Source organism: Homo sapiens, chromosome 2, assembly GCF_000001405.40.
Source record: "Homo sapiens chromosome 2, GRCh38.p14 Primary Assembly".
NCBI classification, from domain to species: Eukaryota; Metazoa; Chordata; class Mammalia; order Primates; family Hominidae; genus Homo; species Homo sapiens.
The window spans coordinates 172,498,413-172,519,990 of NC_000002.12; the positions used below are offsets into that span (position 1 = coordinate 172,498,413).

The 21,578-nt window shown below is 40.5% G+C and overlaps 1 protein-coding gene and 1 long non-coding RNA gene across 33 annotated transcripts in view, besides 1 other annotated feature; one reads left to right on the plus strand and one right to left on the minus strand.

The window, feature by feature from the left end:
* ITGA6 (integrin subunit alpha 6) overlaps positions 1–8,047 on the plus strand; it is a 79,124-nt gene extending 71,077 nt beyond the window's left edge. For 5 of the 10 annotated variants that reach the window (XM_017004005.2, XM_017004006.2, NM_001394928.1 and 2 more), the window contains one exon: positions 5,679–8,047. In XM_017004005.2, coding sequence (XP_016859494.1) covers positions 5,679–5,840 — 162 coding nt within the window. In that variant the 3' untranslated portion in view covers positions 5,841–8,047. Of the gene's footprint in view, positions 1–3,359; positions 3,490–5,678 lie in introns of those variants that run through there. The other 5 variants (NM_001316306.2, NM_000210.4, NM_001365530.2 and 2 more) reach the window with 2 other exon arrangements.
* PDK1-AS1 (PDK1 and ITGA6 antisense RNA 1) overlaps positions 1–21,578 on the minus strand; it is a 92,199-nt gene that overhangs the window by 34,147 nt on the left and 36,474 nt on the right. For 15 of the 23 annotated variants that reach the window (NR_199652.1, NR_199656.1, NR_199655.1 and 12 more), the window contains exon 2: positions 13,922–14,106. The exons of 7 other annotated variants lie outside the window; for them this stretch is intronic. This is a non-coding gene — a long non-coding RNA (PDK1 and ITGA6 antisense RNA 1). Of the gene's footprint in view, positions 1–4,895; positions 5,731–13,921; positions 14,107–21,578 lie in introns of those variants that run through there. One more of the 23 variants, NR_186178.1, reaches the window with a different exon arrangement.
* Positions 3,735–3,904: an enhancer, noted in NCBI's record as "experimental_56072 CRE fragment used in MPRA reporter constructs". NCBI's record gives its function as "activates a minimal promoter by MPRAs in K562 erythroleukemia cells, with activity observed for both the introgressed and non-introgressed 2:173366960 variant alleles {active_cell/tissue: K562}" and the evidence as "EXISTENCE:reporter gene assay evidence [ECO:0000049][PMID:34662402]".

Here is a 21,578-nt window from a genome sequence, read left to right on the forward strand (position 1 = left end):
GTCTGGATCTAAGCCAAATTGTTAGGGTGTAGTAATAATCTGAATGTGTATCCCTGCTAATTTCAGTTTCTGTGAAGAATGTTCATAGCAGCCATTGGTGTTGGTTATGCTTACAGCTAGATTTGGAATAGAAGAGTATGACATGAATGAATAACTCTATCTCAAGGGGGTCACTATAGCGTGTATCAAACATAAGGAAGGTCTAGGTTCAATATGATGTTCCTCATTAGAATTTGGCCCTTTGACTGTAAATAAAATGTAATATCTTCCCCTGATTCTACCAGTAAAGAGTCTACATTATGAAAAACTGCGTATGAGATGGATACAAACTCTTATTGCCCAAAGATTACAACCTAAAAATTTTAGATTATTCCCAGTGAGTGATAGAGGCTTACAGTCCCTTATCTGCCATTCCAAAAAGCTCTGAAACCTTGAAGTATATATAATGACTTATTTGGCAATAAAACCTGACGTGATGTGAAGAGAGGCTACTTCGAAGTCTTTATCCTTTATGATTAATTTCACTGCAGAAATACTAACATTTTGATTATAGTAGCATTAGGTATGCAGTGCATTACTCATTTTAAAGGACAAAAATTTTGGATTCTCAAACATGTCCGGTCTGGAGGGTTCTGTATGAACCATCAACCCCCTAGGATCAGACTATCCTTTTCTTTTCATTGGATCCAAAAATATAATACATAAGGGTTCAAGATAGTCTTACTTGCAAATATTGAGCATCTGTTTTTGCTTTATTTTTTTTGACTGACTTTTGCAAATTTGAGATAATTTTCTGATGTCTTCTAGACATGGGATTGAAGCTCATGACAAAACTCCTCCTGGTATGGAGTTTTAGCCAGTTTTACCTCTAATGTTTACCTCGGGCAGTAGGTTCCTCTGGCACACACAGCCAGTCAATATAAAACATTTTTTCAAGGAGATGCCTTGAAGAAAAAAAAATTTTTTTTGAGACTGGGTCTCTCGCTCTGTCACCCAGGCTGGATTGCAGTGGTGTGATCATGGCTCACTGCAGCCTTGACCTCCTGGGCTCAAGCAATCCTCCCACCTCGGCCTCCTGAGTAGCTGGGACTACGTGCCACCACATCTAGCTAGTTTTTAAATTTTTTTTCATAAAGGTGAGGCCTTGCTGTGTTGCCCAGACTGGTCTTCAACTCCTGGGCTCAAGCAATCCTCCTGCCTTGGCCTTCCAAATTGTTGTAATTACAGATGTGAGCCATTGCACCCGGCCTTGAAAATTATTTTGATATCAAAAACTAAAGTTGGGGTTTGATATTTGAGGATGATGTTGTGTTTTCTGGAAGAGGTCATAAGGATGGTCTTTTTCAGAGCATTGGCAGCCTTTAATGAGGGTGAGACAGCAGTGGATTTAAAGTTAGAAACCTAAGCTGTATATAATCTTGGTCAAATCATTCCATCTCCCTGGGGCCTCTGTTTGCCTCGTCTGTTAAATAAGTTGATTGGATTATTAGATGATTTCATTATTTTGGGAGTTTTTGTTTTGTTTTTGTTTTTTTGAAGCTCTGAAGTGTCCAGGCTGTCAAGGGGACTCTAAAATACGACTTATACAACCCCACATGAGAAGCATTTTTATTACTTTATACTTTTATTCAACTGAATTATTTAATATGTTAAAGTCATAGGATTTTAGGGTCAGAACTACAGTTCAATGGCCCTTAAATTGGATTTTGTATATCCATGTAGAGGGCAAAGCTAAACTAGGCAGGATGAAGATCCCTACTTCAACCACAGTAGTTCAGATTGTATCCATTTTAAATATCAGGATTCTGTACAGGATTTTGTTTGCAGGTGAAAAAAAAAAAAGTCCCTTGGGCTGGTCTAAATCACCTTCATTTTGCTAACAAAGATGCTCATGACCAGGGATATTAAGAATGTTGCTGGCTGGGCGCGGTGGCTCCTGCCTGTAATCCCAGCACTTTGGGAGGCTGGTGGATTACAGCACTTTGTGGCAGGTGGATCACGACGTCAGGAGATGGAGACCATCCTGGCTAACACGGTGAAACCCCGCGTCTACTAAATATACAAAAAATTAGCTGGGCATGGTGGCGGGCACCTGTAGTCCCAGCTACTAGGGAGGCTGAGGCAGGAGAATGGTGTGAACCTGGGAGGTGGAGCTTGCAGTGAGCCAAGATCGTGCCACTGCACTCCAGCCTGGGCAACAGAGTGAGACTCTGTCTCAAAAAAAGGAAAGAATGTTGCCAAGTTGGAGGCAGGACCAGGCCTCTTGGCTCCTGGTTTATTCTTCTTCCCACCCTATTTACTAGCACATATTATTGAAAGCTGCCCAACAAAACTCTATACTGATGGAAATGTTCTGGAGCTGCAGCATCCAGTATGGTAGCCATTAGTCATGTGTGGCGGTTAGGCACGTGGAATATGGCTGGTTCACTTGAGGCACAGAGTTTTAAATGTAATTTAAATTAATTTCAATCTGAATAGCCTCACGGAGCCAGCAGCTCCCATATATTGTACAAAGTGAATCTAGGCTTTTACCTTCATGAGTTGCTGGACTAGGAATCAGAGTTTTTCAGGAGATTTTATTTGACCAGGTTAAATTTTATAAAAGACAGTTCCATGGCCTTATGAACTAGATAAAAGTAAATAGGAAAAGTTCTCTATCACTGAACGAAGGAAATTATAGTAGAAAGTGGAATTATACTTTTATACTCATTTAGAGTGACCTAACCTGAGGAGCATTGGGTCCCTACCATTTAAGGGTTTTATGGTGCTCAGAGTTTGGGAAAATGACAGCAATCATTCTTTCATGATGGTGTATTCGAATTTGTATTGTGATTCACCCCACAGATCCAAAGGCCTCAAGTAAATGGCATTTGTTCCATAAAATTTACTGTAAAAGGCAGAAAAATACCCATAGTATATCTATATTTTATTTGGATTTGTGCTTTTATTTAGAGAATTTATTTTCTAACCTTTGTCTCAATAAACTGCCGAAGTCAATCTTTTGCCTCTTTTGGAGTTCATATTCTCCTGCAGGAAGAAACTACCCAAAGCTACAATCAGCAATGTATATACGTTTTCCCTATTAGAATGATTTTTGTCCACAAGATTTCTGTTACAAAGAGAAAAATCAATGAGCTGACTAGTGTCATCCATATAAATATTTGACCAGAGATGTATGGTGAAGGGTGTATTGAATATGACAATGAAACAATGCAGTGGCTGTTCATTGTTGGTTGACTGAAAGTGGTCTGTTTGTAAACAAGCCACTAGTAGAAGGCAGATTAAAATTTGAGATGTTCTGTTGTTTGGCTCTTATACACAAAACTGTAAAATTGACTAAATACCTTGCTTCCTTGTAGTGTGGTTTCTTCAAGAGAAATAAGAAAGATCATTATGATGCCACATATCACAAGGCTGAGATCCATGCTCAGCCATCTGATAAAGAGAGGCTTACTTCTGATGCATAGTATTGATCTACTTCTGTAATTGGTAATTGATCAATGTTTTTTAATTGCTAGCTGTGGGACCCGCTATGGTTGTGGTGGCTAACTTTAAGAACAACAGCTTGCTATGTGTGTCCCATTAACAGATGTTTCCAAATGTCCACACTGGCTTGCCTTGCTTGGATTTGTTTTATTTTATTTCACTTGAAAGCTCAGTTTTTGTTTTTTTTAATGCACAGTCTTTCGTTGCAGGTGAGTTATTTTATGTTCTTGTTAAATATCTACCACAGCAATGAAGAAAATTTGCAATATTTGTACACACAAAAAGAGACTTTTAGCCCTCCATAGTAGCCCAGTTTGCAATGTGTTATTAATTCGGTATGTAGCATTCCACTAGGGAATTCAAAGATGCATAAGAAATCATTCTAGATTTCTTGTCCATTTTGGAATTTTCCACAGATAGAAGCTGTGTCGACCGCCTAATTAACCTGTTGCATGTTGGAAATGTTGTGTTTCTCTTGGTGAGGCTTCCTCACTGTCATCTTTTTGTTCTCTTTGCTATAAAGTGATGGGGAAGGCTTGGAATGCTTTTTACTGTTGCTCAGGAATCGTTTTATGCTAGCTAAGCATGCAACTTCCATTTCCTGCATGTCTCCTACAGGTCAAAGACCATTACAACAAACTGATTATCAGCATGATGGGCTTTTATGGCCAACTTCAGAAGATGATCCCTTACCAAAGTTACCTTCCATCTACAAAATTCTAGTACAAAAAATACCCTGAACAGTTTTTATTGCAATATGTTGTGATGGAGTTTGACCATATTTCATGTATCCAGAGATTTTATCCAACCTTGGATCTCAGTTGATTTTAAATTCAAGTTTCTCTTATTTGGAAATACATGGAAATAGGAATTGCTAGTGATCCCTTTCACCATTTACGTGGGCATGAGAGGACAGAATTACTCCTGTAATCCTTTCCATGGCACTATCACAGTGAATCACAACATTGCCATTCAGCTTTACATATTACCCTTAATTTCCCTCTTTGTTTAAATGGGGTAGACAGCAGTCATATTTTGTAATAGATAGGTACTTTGGCTTTTTTTTCTTTTTTTTTGCACAGAATAATAAATGAATCCATGTAGAAATGACCTGGAACAAAACATCTTGGTCCATTTTGCCTATTGATTTAGTGATAACTATACATATAATTTTATCTTGCTCCATGGCATTTTTATAACATAACATCATTCAACATAAATGTCCTGTTACTATTGACGTCACACAATAAACACATTAACAGTTCTATCAATATCCTCATTCTTCTAAACTGCATTTTAAAGTTGAAAACACCTTTTTTTAAAAAAAGTAAATATATTTCATTTAAAAATTTAATCTCAATTCAAATTTTTTCAGATATATTCTCAGTAAAAATATACTTTGGATCAGATTGACTATTTAAATGAATTTTATATATATATATAAACACACACATTAACAGTTTAAAGGTAAATGTATTTTTGCAAAAGAAGAGAAATTAGGGAGTGCTCTGAAATTCAGTGTAGTGATGCACTTCTGAAGTCCTATGCAGCACATGATTTTTATTGCAGGAAACAGTTACTATGTGATTAATGAAATAGCTTAATTAGAAGCACAATAGCAAATCCAGGCAACATAAATGACCTCCTGGCTAATGAGAGAAGTGATATGTGTACTAGAGCCTCAGAGGAGAGAAAAAGATTATAAAGTTGACCTGTTGGAACACTGGCATATTCAAATAGTAATTTGTAAAATACTTGTGACATGATTTGCATTTTATTAGTGGGAAAGGGGCATGAAATAATCTTTGGTTTATGCCATTTAAAAATTATTCTTAATCTAATCTGATAATCAGATATTTTACATATCATATTGTGATTATTTTTAAATATGGAAGCACTGTTTTCATAAACTCTTAAATTGTTAGTAAAGAGGTAGCCTACATTTGTTATAAAATGTAAAGAGAAGATGAAAATGGACTTTTCTTCCAGTTTTACAGCTGTTCTCTTCCGTTGATCCCCACTGGCTCTTCTTTCATTTCAGCCTCTTGGTTCTTTCTTAAAAGAAAACCATGTCTTTTTCCCCTTAGTCCAGAGGTAGACATAGCTGAACAGAAAGCTTAGACATTCCCATTTAGTGTATTTGCTTCTTTGTGAGATTAATTTGTTTCTCTTTCTCTTTCCCTCTTCTCTAGTGTGGATTCTTTAAACGCTCTAGGTACGATGACAGTGTTCCCCGATACCATGCTGTAAGGATCCGGAAAGAAGAGCGAGAGATCAAAGATGAAAAGTATATTGATAACCTTGAAAAAAAACAGTGGATCACAAAGTGGAACGAAAATGAAAGCTACTCATAGCGGGGGCCTAAAAAAAAAAAGCTTCACAGTACCCAAACTGCTTTTTCCAACTCAGAAATTCAATTTGGATTTAAAAGCCTGCTCAATCCCTGAGGACTGATTTCAGAGTGACTACACACAGTACGAACCTACAGTTTTAACTGTGGATATTGTTACGTAGCCTAAGGCTCCTGTTTTGCACAGCCAAATTTAAAACTGTTGGAATGGATTTTTCTTTAACTGCCGTAATTTAACTTTCTGGGTTGCCTTTATTTTTGGCGTGGCTGACTTACATCATGTGTTGGGGAAGGGCCTGCCCAGTTGCACTCAGGTGACATCCTCCAGATAGTGTAGCTGAGGAGGCACCTACACTCACCTGCACTAACAGAGTGGCCGTCCTAACCTCGGGCCTGCTGCGCAGACGTCCATCACGTTAGCTGTCCCACATCACAAGACTATGCCATTGGGGTAGTTGTGTTTCAACGGAAAGTGCTGTCTTAAACTAAATGTGCAATAGAAGGTGATGTTGCCATCCTACCGTCTTTTCCTGTTTCCTAGCTGTGTGAATACCTGCTCACGTCAAATGCATACAAGTTTCATTCTCCCTTTCACTAAAACACACAGGTGCAACAGACTTGAATGCTAGTTATACTTATTTGTATATGGTATTTATTTTTTCTTTTCTTTACAAACCATTTTGTTATTGACTAACAGGCCAAAGAGTCTCCAGTTTACCCTTCAGGTTGGTTTAATCAATCAGAATTAGAGCATGGGAGGTCATCACTTTGACCTAAATTATTTACTGCAAAAAGAAAATCTTTATAAATGTACCAGAGAGAGTTGTTTTAATAACTTATCTATAAACTATAACCTCTCCTTCATGACAGCCTCCACCCCACAACCCAAAAGGTTTAAGAAATAGAATTATAACTGTAAAGATGTTTATTTCAGGCATTGGATATTTTTTACTTTAGAAGCCTGCATAATGTTTCTGGATTTCATACTGTAACATTCAGGAATTCTTGGAGAAAATGGGTTTATTCACTGAACTCTAGTGCGGTTTACTCACTGCTGCAAATACTGTATATTCAGGACTTGAAAGAAATGGTGAATGCCTATGGTGGATCCAAACTGATCCAGTATAAGACTACTGAATCTGCTACCAAAACAGTTAATCAGTGAGTCGATGTTCTATTTTTTGTTTTGTTTCCTCCCCTATCTGTATTCCCAAAAATTACTTTGGGGCTAATTTAACAAGAACTTTAAATTGTGTTTTAATTGTAAAAATGGCAGGGGGTGGAATTATTACTCTATACATTCAACAGAGACTGAATAGATATGAAAGCTGATTTTTTTTAATTACCATGCTTCACAATGTTAAGTTATATGGGGAGCAACAGCAAACAGGTGCTAATTTGTTTTGGATATAGTATAAGCAGTGTCTGTGTTTTGAAAGAATAGAACACAGTTTGTAGTGCCACTGTTGTTTTGGGGGGGCTTTTTTCTTTTCGGAAATCTTAAACCTTAAGATACTAAGGACGTTGTTTTGGTTGTACTTTGGAATTCTTAGTCACAAAATATATTTTGTTTACAAAAATTTCTGTAAAACAGGTTATAACAGTGTTTAAAGTCTCAGTTTCTTGCTTGGGGAACTTGTGTCCCTAATGTGTTTAGATTGCTAGATTGCTAAGGAGCTGATACTTTGACAGTGTTTTTAGACCTGTGTTACTAAAAAAAAGATGAATGTCCTGAAAAGGGTGTTGGGAGGGTGGTTCAACAAAGAAACAAAGATGTTATGGTGTTTAGATTTATGGTTGTTAAAAATGTCATCTCAAGTCAAGTCACTGGTCTGTTTGCATTTGATACATTTTTGTACTAACTAGCATTGTAAAATTATTTCATGATTAGAAATTACCTGTGGATATTTGTATAAAAGTGTGAAATAAATTTTTTATAAAAGTGTTCATTGTTTCGTAACACAGCATTGTATATGTGAAGCAAACTCTAAAATTATAAATGACAACCTGAATTATCTATTTCATCAAACCAAAGTTCAGTGTTTTTATTTTTGGTGTCTCATGTAATCTCAGATCAGCCAAAGATACTAGTGCCAAAGCAATGGGATTCGGGGTTTTTTTCTGTTTTCGCTCTATGTAGGTGATCCTCAAGTCTTTCATTTTCCTTCTTTATGATTAAAAGAAACCTACAGGTATTTAACAACCTACAAATTGGGAGTTGTCTTTGGACTGAATCCTCCTCTTCACTGCCTGTCCTTGTAAGGATAGGGAATTGCTTAGCAATGATAACCTGGCATTAAAAAAAATTCTGACAGCTAAGCTGCTTCCTTCTTAGAATATGTTTTGGATGTGGGAGCAGGCTAGCTGTGACGTGTGTGGCAGAATCAACTAGTCAGAAAATATTTTCTTCAGCAAAAGAAAGATTTTAGATTTGAGTTTTATGAAACTTCTCTAGCTGGATTATCACAACCTAATACAAGAAAATAAAATATATAAATATATAAATATATATAAATATAAATATATAAATATATATAAATATATATATACATATATACGTATATACACACACACACACACACACACACACACATATATATATATAAAATGCCTAGACAATATAGTGTGCCCTGGCCTGAATAAATGTCTGTCTAATATATTAGGTAATAGCTCTCCACTATACTTGGCATTACATAAAATCTTGGCCTTCTTGGTTCTTTGAAGATCAAACAGGTGTTACCACCCAAAGAAATATGTGATTGATTGGCACTTAATGATTTGGGCCAGTGGCTGTGAACCTTTTTAGCCTCAGTTCACATATCAGATATACCCAGATTAAATCACTACAATAATATGTAATCGTCATAACCTCATAGAGCCTATCAGTAGCTGTGGTTTGACTAGGGCTATGGCATAAATAACACAGACTGTAAGTAAGTCATGGCCCATCCAGTCATAGTGCCTGTGATTCCAACACTTCCCCTCCCTCTCAAAAATTACAGGAACGTCTACCAGCGATTGTGGAATTATTACAGGGTTATCCTTGGATCTATTTGGATTCACAGAGGAATCACTGCAAACATTGATACTTCATTATTGGTTGTAAATTAGTTGCTGCAAATTCAGTGTGTCGTGCATAGTCATGGTTTACGCTTTTCCCTTGTGGCTGAGAATATTCTAGCATGTGGTGTTGATATAGGTGGGGAATGCTTTAAAGATTGTCCAGACTGCCAGCCATGGTGGCTCATGCCTGTAATCCCAGCACTCTGGGAGGCTGAGGATCCTTGAGACCACAAGTTGAGATCAGCTTGGGCAACATGGCAAGACCCAATCTCTACAAAAAATTTAAAAATTAGCCAGGTGTGGTGGTGTGCACCTGTAGTCCTTGCTACTCGGGAGGCTGTGGTGGGAAGATTGCTTGAGCCTAGGAGTTTGAGGCTGCAGTGAGCTATGATCATGCCACTGCACTCTGGCCTGGGCAACAGAGTGAGATCCTGTCTCAAAAATTGTCCAAATCAGGGAAGTAAGGATAAGATCAAGCCTTCTACTCTAAATGAAAACATCTTAATGAGAAACTGGTCTCCAGTACACTATCCCACAAAAGGACAATGTGGGAAGACAAGCCGGGATTGAGAGACTTGTTTTCAAGGAGGGAAAGAGACGCTGTCAGTGGTTGGGTTCCACATAAGTACATCCACAGGGCTGAGAAAACAGAAATGTGGAAGAGTTGTTGGATCAATTTGGGGAGCATAAAGTAAGTGATTAAAAGCAGTTCCTTAAGACCAAAGGACAGGGTCCAACCACTTGGAATGAGGAAAAGGTGAGGGTCAAAGAGGTGAAGAAAATGAACTTCAGAATGATTTCAAGAGTGGCTATTGCATGCTAGTGGGCATCTGTTCTTCCCGTAGTTTCTGATTACGGTTAATAGCAAGTTCTTTTTCTCTCCTGTACCTTAAACAGGTTTTGCCAGCTCCAAAAGGCATCTCATCCAGCTGTTGGAAGGTGGGAGAGCTGTACACTAGGAGCTGAGACCAGGTCTGTGGAGGTGCTACCAATAGACCTCATCTAGGAGGAAAATCATGAGGGGATTCATAGCCAAATCCTCTTGACTCAGGGTAAATGAACTGTAAAACACAAACCAGAGGAAGGAAACTGGTGTGGCCCAGTGCAAGGGTGGACCAGGCACCACAAAGGGCAAAACTAACCAGGTAATAGTTGATGATTACACCAGAGTTGAGGGAGTCAAGTGGTCAAGTGCAATTTTTGTAGCAGTCAGCAAAGCATAAGTGCCTCAATCTTCTCTTGCCCTGGAGGCATCTCTCAGTTATGCTGCCTGTGCTGGGGTCATGGAAACAGTTCCCTGCTAGGAGAGGTCAGATAAATTTCTTACTCTTCAGCCTTCTAAAACGTGCCAAAAATCTCAAGAAATTACAGTGTCAGAATGTGCTACCGTTGTTATCTCAAAGCCTAGCAATTTAAGTTTTCAGTTCACCAACAATCAGTAAGTGGATTTAAGTGAGTGTTCTGTTAAGATCCTGTCATTGTGAGAGGGATGTGATTTAATAATTATTTTCCAGTTGGAAGTAAACAGATGTTTAGGGATGTTAGGCTCTGGGGATATACGTAAGACACTGGCTCTGACCTTTTATAGGAAGCTTATCTGAAACTACAGATGGTATTGACAAGCATAAGTGAATTCACTTTTTATAGGTAGCAGAATTTAAAACCCTAAGATATCAATGATTGACACATAAATTCAATACCTGGCCAGGCGTGGAGGTTCACGCCTGTAATCCCAGGACTTTGGGAGGCCGAGGCAGGCAGATCACATAAGGTCAGGAGTTCGAGACTAGCCTGACTGACATGGTGAAACCCCGTTTCTACTAAATACAAAAAATGAGCCGGGTGTGGTGGTGGCACATGGCTATAATCCCAGCTACTTGGGACGCTGAGGCAGGAGAATCGCTTGAACTGGGAGGCAGAGGTTGCAGTGAGCCAAGACTGCGCCACTGCAGTCCAGCCTGGGCAACAAAAGCAAAACTCTGTCTCAAAAAAAAAAATAAAGTCAATACCTGAACCTTTGTGGGCAGAACTTGCCCCCAGAACAACCCCATTCCCAGAAAATTTAGAGTCATTCTTAAGCAGGTCTACACATTTAAATCACCAAAGAAATACATTTATTAAAATCCCGATGGCTGGACAATCTGCCACACTGACTACATGAGAATCTGAGTGAGACCCAGAAATTAGCGCTGCTTAAAGCTCCCCAGCTGACTCGTAAAGTGCAGCCAGGATTGAGAACTACTTTAGAGATTATTGGATGTTGTGAATATTTATCAAAATAATATGCTCACTGTGTGGAATGCCTCGTTCCTGTTTGTGGTACTTCCACTGCACCAGTAACAGGAGCTGAGAAGCTAGAGGTGCATTTGCTATAGGCAGGGAGGCAGCTGAGCGGTGCATAAGGGCATGTCTCTGGAGCCACGCTGCAGGTGTGAATTAGCTTCTCCTCTTAGAACATAACCTTGGGTGAGTTACGGATATCTCTGTGCCCAGTTTCTTGGCCTGTAAGATAAGTGCTCACTCAGAGGTTCTTTTTTTTTTTTTTTTTTTTTTTTTTTGAGATGGAGTCTGGCTCCATCGAGACGGAGTTTTACTCTTGCTGCCCAGGCTGGAGTGCAATGGCACGATCTTGGCTCAGTGCAACCTCTGCCTTCTGGGTTCAAGCAATTCTCCTGTATCAGCCTCCCAAGCAGCTGGGATTATAGGCGCCCGCCACCATGCATGGCTAATTTTTTGTATTTTTAGTAGAGACGGGGTTTCGCCATGTTGGCCAGGCTGGTGTTGAATTCCTGACCTCAGATGATCCACCCCTGCTTCGGCATGCCAAAGTGCTGGGATTACAGGTGTGAGCCACCATACCCAGCCCAGAGGTTCTTGTAAAGAGAAAATTGGACCATCTGGAAGTGCTTACTAGTTACTTTTATACTTACCCTTGTTTATTATATAGAACCATAAATCTTAAAAAGGGAAGGAAGCATGGAAATCTAGTTCTACTTCCTCGTTTCACAGATGGGGAGACACGGTTTATTTTTATTGTCACGGGAACCTTTTGTCTCCTCATTCTTCAGTGTCTACCAACTTAAGTCTTACTAGTGGGTGTTATAACTACAAAAAAAAAATACGATGAACCTCTTAAAGTCCTTATCAACATAGATCATTCTGAACAACGACAAGAGTGACCTTATTTCTATGTTAAATTCTGTCTCAACCCTTAATACAGTGACCATAATGCAGTCTTCGGTTGGGGTCAGAAAGATGACATGTTAAGATAATCAACAAAGCATCTTGAAATCGCTAGGTATTGAATCTTTGTGTTTTTCTCCCCGCTGACATGGAAGAGTGTGAAAAGAGCAGATTCTCTTTTTGAACCTTTTCTCAGAGTTCTTTACACACCATCGATTTCTTTGGTTTCCTTTAGTGGGAAGGCAAGCCACAGTTTTACTGCTTATTACCTTTACTGCTGTGCAGAAGAGGAAATGCTCACAGAGCTCATCTTGCACCTGAGTTACACCATGTGTGTTAGAACGGAGTTTGTCACTGGAAGAACAAATTTGAAAACTCCTGCCTCCCACATGTCACAATAATGCATGGACTGAAAGACTATGTAAAGGCAAAAAACATACATATACATGCATTCTTCCATAGGAAGATTGGGGGACTGCCTGATGCCAAGGTGTCCTCAAATTGCTGATGGAACTGAAGTTCTGGGGTTCTTACCTGAGGAAGCCACTGGTGGTCAGGAAGTCTCAATTAGAGAAGTTAAGAGCAGTCTTTCTCAAAATTTAACATGCCTAAGACTCACCTGAGGATCTTGTTGATTCAGGTTCTGATTTAAACAGTCTAGGAAACAGCCTGAGAGTCTACATTTCTAACAACCTCCAGGTGTTGCAATACTACTGATCTATGGATTACTCTTTGGGTGTCAAGGGTCTCTAGAGCCAGTCTTTATTCAAGTCCCTATTGTGTCACTTTTTACTGTATGACCTGGGCAAGTTTAAATGCCTGATGCCTTAATTCCTTCACCTGTAAAATGGCATAAGGTATAATGGTATAAGGAATAAGATTATAACCTAGGCTTACACTGTCTTATGTCTTTCTACACAACTTCCAAACCCCTAACATCCTCAAATGTGTGGATAAGGACTGACTGGGGTGCAGTTAAGTCTGTTTATCTAAATATATAGCTTTCACCGTCTTGACAGGATAGCTGACATTTGTTGTAGGCTACTCTTACAGGCCATGCTTTTAAGATTCCTGCCCCGTGAGAAGGAAAATCCCATGACAGTGAATAGCATTACAACGGAATGGGAAACAATGTGCCAGTTCTAGTAGCTGACCCACAGAAGCAGTGACATGTTGATCTGGTTATAAAGACTTATCTAAATCAGTAATGAAACAAACACATTGAACAGGTTCAGGATGACTTAAAGAGAAGCTTTTGCAACTTGACATTTCCTTTCTCAAGCAGCAACTCAGTGTTTCTTTGCCTGTGCCTACCACGAACAACCCAAGTACTCATGCCAGAAAACACACACACATAAATTAATAAAACTCCTAAGCCACTGTGATACATATCTGTGGACTGGCTTGCTCTATTCCATACTTTTTCTAGTTGGAAGGGCTGAGGTGCTAAAAATACCTTCCCAGACTCCCTTGCAGCTAGGGTTGTACATATGAATTTTTTATTTTTATTTATTTATTTAGAGACAGGGTCTCACTCCATAGCCCAGGCTGGAGTGTAGTGGTGCAATCTTGGCTCACTGCAACCTCCACCTCCTGAGTTCAAGTGATTCTCTCACCTCAGCCTCCCAAGTAGCAAGTAGCTGCAATTACAGGCACCCACCACCATGCACAGCTACCTTTATATTTTTAGTAGAGATGGGGGTTTCAGCATGTTGGCCAAACTGGTCTGAAACTCCTGACCTCAAGTGATCTGCCTGCTTCAGCCTCCCAAAGTGCTGGGATTACAAGAGTGAGCCACCGCACACGGCTGAAATAAATTTAATTCTATGACTTGCATACCTGTTCACTTGAGATCTGAAAGATGGACTCATGGTGGCTGTTTCTCCTAGCAAGCATGGCACAGAGCCCCAGGATTCAATGTTGAGTGTCTTCCAGCTTTCTAAGCCATCATCAGAGAAGGATTGTGACCTCTTGATTCCATTTTCTTGACCTTCGATTGCAACTTCAAGTATTTGCCTTCAACCCTATTTTGAAAAATAAAAATGAAATCCTAAGCCCCCCAACCAAATAAATGGACCCCCTCTTTGCCACAGGGACCCCAGAGTAATTTTGAAAACCTGAATTTAAGGGATGCTGCATCTCCCTTTTGGGGTTTTGACACAACAATTGACCAGCATTTCTTCCTAATAAGAGACCACTGACCACAGAGTGGCTCTGGCTAGTGTACATGTGACTCATGAAGGGGCATGAAGCCCCATTGCATATATGCACATTTCTCCTTTTGTAAATATTCATGATTCCTATTGCTGGCCACTCTGTTCAGCATAGACTCCTGTTCCCTTTGCCCCTCCCTCAAAGTATCTGTTTCTAGCTCCTGGCCAGAGGCTATCCTTCCCAGTGTCAGAATGGTCACCCTGCCAGCTGCAAACTTTTATGAAAAATAAAGCTCTCCTTTCCAAATTTATAAACTTTGTAACCAACCAATAGGTTCTCCTTGCCTACTGCCCAGATAGAGCCAATTTATCAAGACAGGGGATTGCAATAGAGAAAGAGTTTAATGCATGCCTCTGGGGATTCAGTCAGGATGGTGGGGAAAATTATAAGACGCAAACCTTCTTGGAAGGCCTGGGGGAGATGCATAAGCTCCAGTAATAAACTTGGCTGAAGGCAGCCTTGTCCCCTTAGTTAAGTAAATTAAAGTAGAAACAAAGGAATGTGCGGAGTTTATCTAACTAGCTTGTTTACTCATGTGGTCCTAAGACTAACCTTTGATTTACTGTGGGTGCTTAACTGATTTCTACTCAGGAGGTCCACAATGTCAACTACCCTCTAGTGGTGTTTACTCACGACCTTTGTCAATTAACCTTTACTGAATAAATGCAAGTCTCACTGACTGATCAAGGCCGCAGTCACAACTGTTTACAGCACTCTGCTTGTAGTCTGTAAGCAGCCTGGACACTCAGCTGGACTGGCAAAGCAGCATATCTGTGTGTCAGTGTACTTTATTCATCCGTTGTTGGGTCAGGGTCTGTGGGACAGACTCCGCAGCTGGTGCCCTGTGTGGGGATCGCTGTGAAGGGAGCGCGACAGACCCCCAGAAATGAAGGTGGAGAGGACTGGCGGTCAAGTCAGTAAAACAGTGAGTCATTGGTGCCTGCTTGGGATTACCAAGTTTGGGGGGGTGGGGGATTGTTCAGGCTGAGATTTCATCATGGGACAATAGTTATCAGTTCAACAAAGACAGTACATAAAAGTGTTGAAACAGTTACTTAAGGCTAGGGGAGCATCAGTTTTGCAGGCTCAATTAAGAGACCCAATGCAAACTGTTGTCTCACTTAATCCATGGTTCCCAGAAGAAGGACCGCTAGATGTAGAGGTCTGGGAACAAGTGGGGAGAAATATTAAACAACGTTATGCACAAGGGCAATGTGTCCCAGTAACAGCTTTTAATGCTATGGGCTTTAATTAGAGCAGCCCTAGTTCCGTTATACACAGAAGAGCCTAAAAAGGGGAAGGAGGAGGAACCGTCACCTATCTTATCGCCTCCTCTTCCCTCAGCCCTGATATTACTGGGCCAAAATAACAAAGAGGAAACAGAAGTTGTGCCTGAGCCACCTCCTCCAATAGATAAGAAAAAAAAAACAAAACAAGAGATACACTACAGCTATGAAACCCTGTCTTAAGCAGGCAGCATTAAAAGGGGAGCTCTTAGCCTGCCCAATAATGCAAAATCAGCAAGGCAATCAGGTACCTAAAGAGTTGTTAAAAAAAAGCATTAGAGGCCAAAGCCAGGCGGCCAAGCGAGCAGTAAGCAGAAGGAGAGACTTGGCAGAGAGGAAGTTCGGGAAACCAAAGCCAGCAAGTGCTCCCAGGAACTCTGTCCACACGGAGGCAGCGGCAACAAACAGCCAGGCCCAGTGCTTGGAAGTTAGCCTGTTAGAGAGAGGCAGGAGGCGCATGTGGGAAAGTCGGCCCAGTGGGCAACAGCCACTGGGCAGCGGGGGTAGGAAGTGGCACAGGCGAAAAGCGGCACAGAAAAAAGCAGCGCTTTTGCAAGCGCAACACAGCTGCCACTCCAGGACCAGTCTGCTTAGCTCTCCAGCTCTGCAGGTGGCCCACGGCAAAATTTCATGTGCTCCTTGTAGACAAGAGACATCCCAAATTATAATTCTATGCTAAGATTTAAGTAAAATTTAATAATTTGAAAAACCTCTTTCTGATAATGGGCACTGTTATCTCTCTCTTACCCCTAACTCTCTCCAAATCCAATTTAAGTAAAACTGTAACCTCTAAAGGGAGAGAAATTACAAACGGCCCATGAGTTAGTTAAGGAGCAGTTAAAGCAAACTTTACTCCCCAGTAGAAAACAAAAACAAAAACAAAACAAAAACAAAAAAACTTCCTGATTACAAGGTTATTCATTTTATGGATAATATTCTCCTAACAGCCCTTGGAGTTCGCCCATTTTCGTCATTCCCAAAAAGTCTGGGAAATGAAGACTTTTGCATGACTTAACATGCTATTAATGCTACTTTACAGCCTATGGGACCCCTTCAACAGGGCCACTCCTCCCCCGTGGTGATTCCTCAAGATTGGCCTATAATCATTATTGACTTAAAAGTTTTTTATACAATTCCTCTAGCAGAACAGGACAGAGAAAAATTTGCGCTTACAATACCAGCTATCAATAATGAAAAGCCAGCTTGTTGATTCCATTGGAAAGTGCTTCCTCAAGGAATGCTAAACAGTCCTACCATGTGTCAATATCATGGAAATCAAGCTTTGGTCCCTAGTACAAAAGAATTTCCTGATTGCAAGATTATTCATTTTATGGATGATATTCTACTAGCAGCCCCAACGGAGCCAATACTTTTAAATTTATATTCTTCTGTCGTAAAGAATACAGAGCTAAGAGGTCTAATGATTGCACGTAAGAAAGTACAAATGTCCTCTCCTTGGAAATATCTTGGGTACATACTAACTTCCTGGTCAGCAAGATCTCAAAAGGTTAAATTAAATACTAGCAATGTATACACCTTAAATGATTATCAGAAATTGGGCGATATTACCTAGCTCCACCCCACTTTGAGGATTCCTACTGATAAACTACAAAATCTGTTTTCTATCTTAAAGGGTAATCCAGCCCTGGATTCTCCCAGATATTTAACCCCTGAAGGAAAAAAGGAAACTGAGGAAATAGAGCATGCCATCTCTCAGAGGCAGCTAGATCGCATTGATCCATGGTATTCAATTCAGTTGTTTATTTTTCCCACCAAACACCCCCCTACAGGGTTAATAGGACAGATGACCCCAGGGCTACGCTTCCTAGAATGGGTTTTTTGCTCACATACTAGGACTAAAACACTATCTCCGTATATTTAGTTAATTACTAAAGTCATCTATTCAGGCCACAAAAGATGCAATCAGTTGCTAGGTTATGACCCTGATGTCATCAGGATTCCTTTAAGCAAAAAGCAATGCGAATCAGTATTGCTCTTATCGATATATCTGCAAATAGTTTTCTCTGATTATACAGGACAAATAGAGCACATGCTTCCTGCTGATAAACTCCTTCATTTCTTACCTCATACGCAGGCAATCTTACCTACAAAAATAGTTCACTCCCCCATACCTAATGCTTTAACACTGTTTACTGATAGGTCTGGTAAACATGGAAAAGCGGCAGTCTGGTGGAGACTACACAATTCAATCACTTGATCTGGGTTTACTAGCAATCAGAGAGCTGCAATTGGGGCTCTGATACTGGCCTTGGAAACTTTTTCCACTCAGCCCACAAGTATTGTAAGTGACTTGGCTTACTCAGTATATTTGCTACAAAATCTTGAAACAGCTTTAATTAACTCCACTCTGGAGCCAGCCTTGTGTGCTTTTTTTTCTCCAACTTCAGCAATTGCTAGATCAACATACACAACCTATTTTTATTACACACATTCGAGCCCACAGCTCTCTGCCTGACTCATTGGCTTATGGCAATGAACAAGCAGATCTTCAGGTTATGACATCACTGCTTGACCAAGCCACCCAATTGCATCAATTTTTCCACCAAAATTAGGGAAACTTATCTAAACAATTTCAACATATACAAAGGCTGGCTAAACAAATTATCCTACAATGCCCAGACTGCCAGCTCACAGGCACATCCCCTCCTTCCACAGGTATTAACCCTAGAGGACTAGAACCTAATCAGTTATGGCAAACAGATGTTACACACATCCCTGAATTTGGAAAACTGAGATATGTACGTGTATCCATTGATACCAACACCCATTTAATTAGTGCACATGCCCTTCTGGGAGAGTCTACTCGATATGTCATTAAACATCGTCTTTTAACTTTTGCATTTATGGGATGGCCCACAAAAATTAAAATGGATAATGGTCCCGCTTATACCAGCTCACAATTTCAACAATTTTGTCACAATGTGGAATATCCAACATTCCACAGGGATCCCATATGACCCCCAAGGACAAGCAATAGAACGTGCCCACTCTTAAAAAATACGCTCAAAAAAAACAGGAAAGAAGGAGTATGGGTAAAAGACCCTGCAACACTATAGGCACAAGCCTTATTTACCCTTAATTTTTTAAATTTAGATGACAAATTTCAATCAGCTGTAGAAAAGCACTTTGCTAAAACCTCTCAAGGCATAAAACCTGCAGTTTGATGGAAAGATGTAAACAGTAATGTATGGTGTGGTCCAAATAAATTATTAACATGGGGAAGAGGGTATGCTTGTGTTCACACCCCCTCAGGTCCTCTTTGGATTCCAGCGTGACGCATCAAACCATACCATGGCATGGCTAGGACCCAACCCAGTACCAGAAATGAAGGAGTTAACCCTACAAGATCCACAGACCCAGAAGATGCGGCTTCCGTGGATGACACAAGCCCCAGATGTTACCTGGGGGATGCTGAAGAAGACAACTCAGGAGGCTGAACAAATCCTGCTCCAGACACAGACAGCATTTACTCCAGATAATTTGTTTCTTGCTATGTTTTCTGTTGTACATTGCAACTCACGTAGGGTATTAATCCCTTTTATGCTCTCACTTTGTTCGCAGCTGGTACCTGCTACACTCTTTTGGGCTCATTATCTTAGACCCACCTTTCTTTTGCCCAGTTACCTTGGCAGACACTCCCTTCCCAGCCTTTAATAACGTGACTGCTTGGCTAGGAGGGATAGATTTACCCCCAGTGGAGTCCCTCAATAATCACACACATTGGACTAAAGTGCCAAATAACACTACATAACACTCCACTATCCTCCCACTGTGTATAAGTTATAAAGGTTCTAACCCTTAATGTGTACCTGCCCAAAAACAAGTATGGCTACATCATGGCAAAGGAAATGCCTTAACATTCTTAGCTGCAGGTAGCCTCAAACCAGGCATTGCAATCAATGCTGCTTTCCCAAACATTCCTTCCTGTGCTAAAGAACAAAGCCAGAAAAGTAATGGATTCCACTTTAGCTGGGATGTCTGTCATGGGAAACAAGCCCATAGACTCCAGTTAGGCAACTATAACATCTTAGACTGAAGTCCCCATGGCCGATTGCAGGGCAGCCTTACTAATGTCTTCGTCCATCACAGCATCAATCACAGTTTCATAGCCATGTTTTGTTTCCCTATATTTTGGGCCAATGTGGGGATAGGATATCCCAGACCCCAAGTAAAGTCCATGCCAACCCAAGGCACCTTATGGTGCCTGGGACATCTCAGCACCTCCCTTAACACCTAACATGGGACATATCATAATTCCCATTGCAACTATACTATAACCTTTATTCATAATCACACGAATCAGTGCCTGATTTGCACTACCCATCCATATATTTTCCTTATGGGAACTAACATTTCCATTATACCCCAAAACTCCACGTTTGTGACCCAGGTGCAGGGATAGGCTTGGTTTGCCTCATATATCACTCACCACAATATATCTAATTTAAAAATCACTAGTGTCATGGTATTAAGGAGACAATCTGAGACATTTCTACCAGTCAATTTGACAGGATTGGCAAGGTTCCTCTGCCCTTGCCACCTTAGAATGTGCTCTGTCCCAGGTCAGACACAAAAGATTCACAGTTACACTTATGGCCTTTATAATCTCAGCCTAGTCATCCTGGCAACTGCTAGCATTGCTGTTGCATCTATTACTGAGTCAATATAAACAGCTAGCTTTGTAGATAATCTGGCCAAAATGTGTCTAATGATCTTCTCTTACAGCAACATATGGATCAAAAGATTCTTGCATGACTGTGAGCCCTTGAGGCTGCCTTAGAGTATGTGGGGGAGTGACAAGATGCACTGGCATTCCAAAAGCAATTAAACTGTGACTGGGGCATAAACATATCTGTGTCACTTCTCTACCTTGGAATCAATCAATACATAGTTGGGATGAGGTAAAACAACACCTCTGGGGAACCTTTCATGACAATTTAACAGCAGACATAAAGCAACTTAAAACTAAAATTTTAGAATCCCTTCACACCATAGATCTACACACCCAACAAACACCCATATAGAAGGGTGTGCAAGATCATCTCTCCTGGTTAGAACCCCACTCCTGGGGGTCACTCTTTGACTGGAAAGAATGTTGCTAATTGTACTCATGATTGTATTATGCTATTTGCTAATTCTAGGATGCAAAGCCAGAATAAGAGCAATGACCACCACACCTGACAAACCTGTTGCTGCATACATGTACACTCTCCAATCAAAAAGACCTGATGCAGAAAACAAAAAAAGAGGAGATGTGGGGGTTCAGTCAGGATGGTGGGGAAAATTATAAGACACAAACCTTGGAAGGCCTGAGGGGTTTGGGTAAGCTCCAGTAATAAACTTGGCTGAAGGCAGCCTTGTCCCCTTAAATTAGAGTAGAAACAAAGCAATATGGAGAGTTATCTAACTAGCTTGTTTACTCATGTGGTCCTAAGACTAATCTTTGATTTACCCTGGGTGCTTAATTGCTTTCTACTCAGGAGGTCCACAATGTCAATTACCCTCTAGTGGTGTTTACTCACGACCTTTGTCAATTAATCTTTACTGAATAAATGCAAGTCTCTCTGACTGATAGAGGCCGCAGTTGCATCTGTTTACAGCACTCTGCTTGGAGTTTGTAAGTGGCCAGTATGCTCAGCTGGACTGGCAAAGCAGCATATCTGTGTGTCAGTGTACTTTATTCATCCGTTGGTGGATCAGTGTCTGAAGGACAGACCCCTGCACATGCCCTGTCAACTAAAGGGGAGATCAGAGTCATTATTCAGATTAGTCTCTCCAAAAATTTGAAGACTTCTGGAGTTTTTAAAGGATAATTTGGTGGGAAGGGGATTAGAGAGTGGAGAGTGCTAATTGGTTGGGTCAGAGATGAAATCATAGTCGGTTGAAGCAGGTTCTTCTTGCTGTCTTCTGTTCCTGGATGGGATCACAGAACTGCTTGAACCAGATTACTGGTCTGCGTGACAACAGCTGGTGCA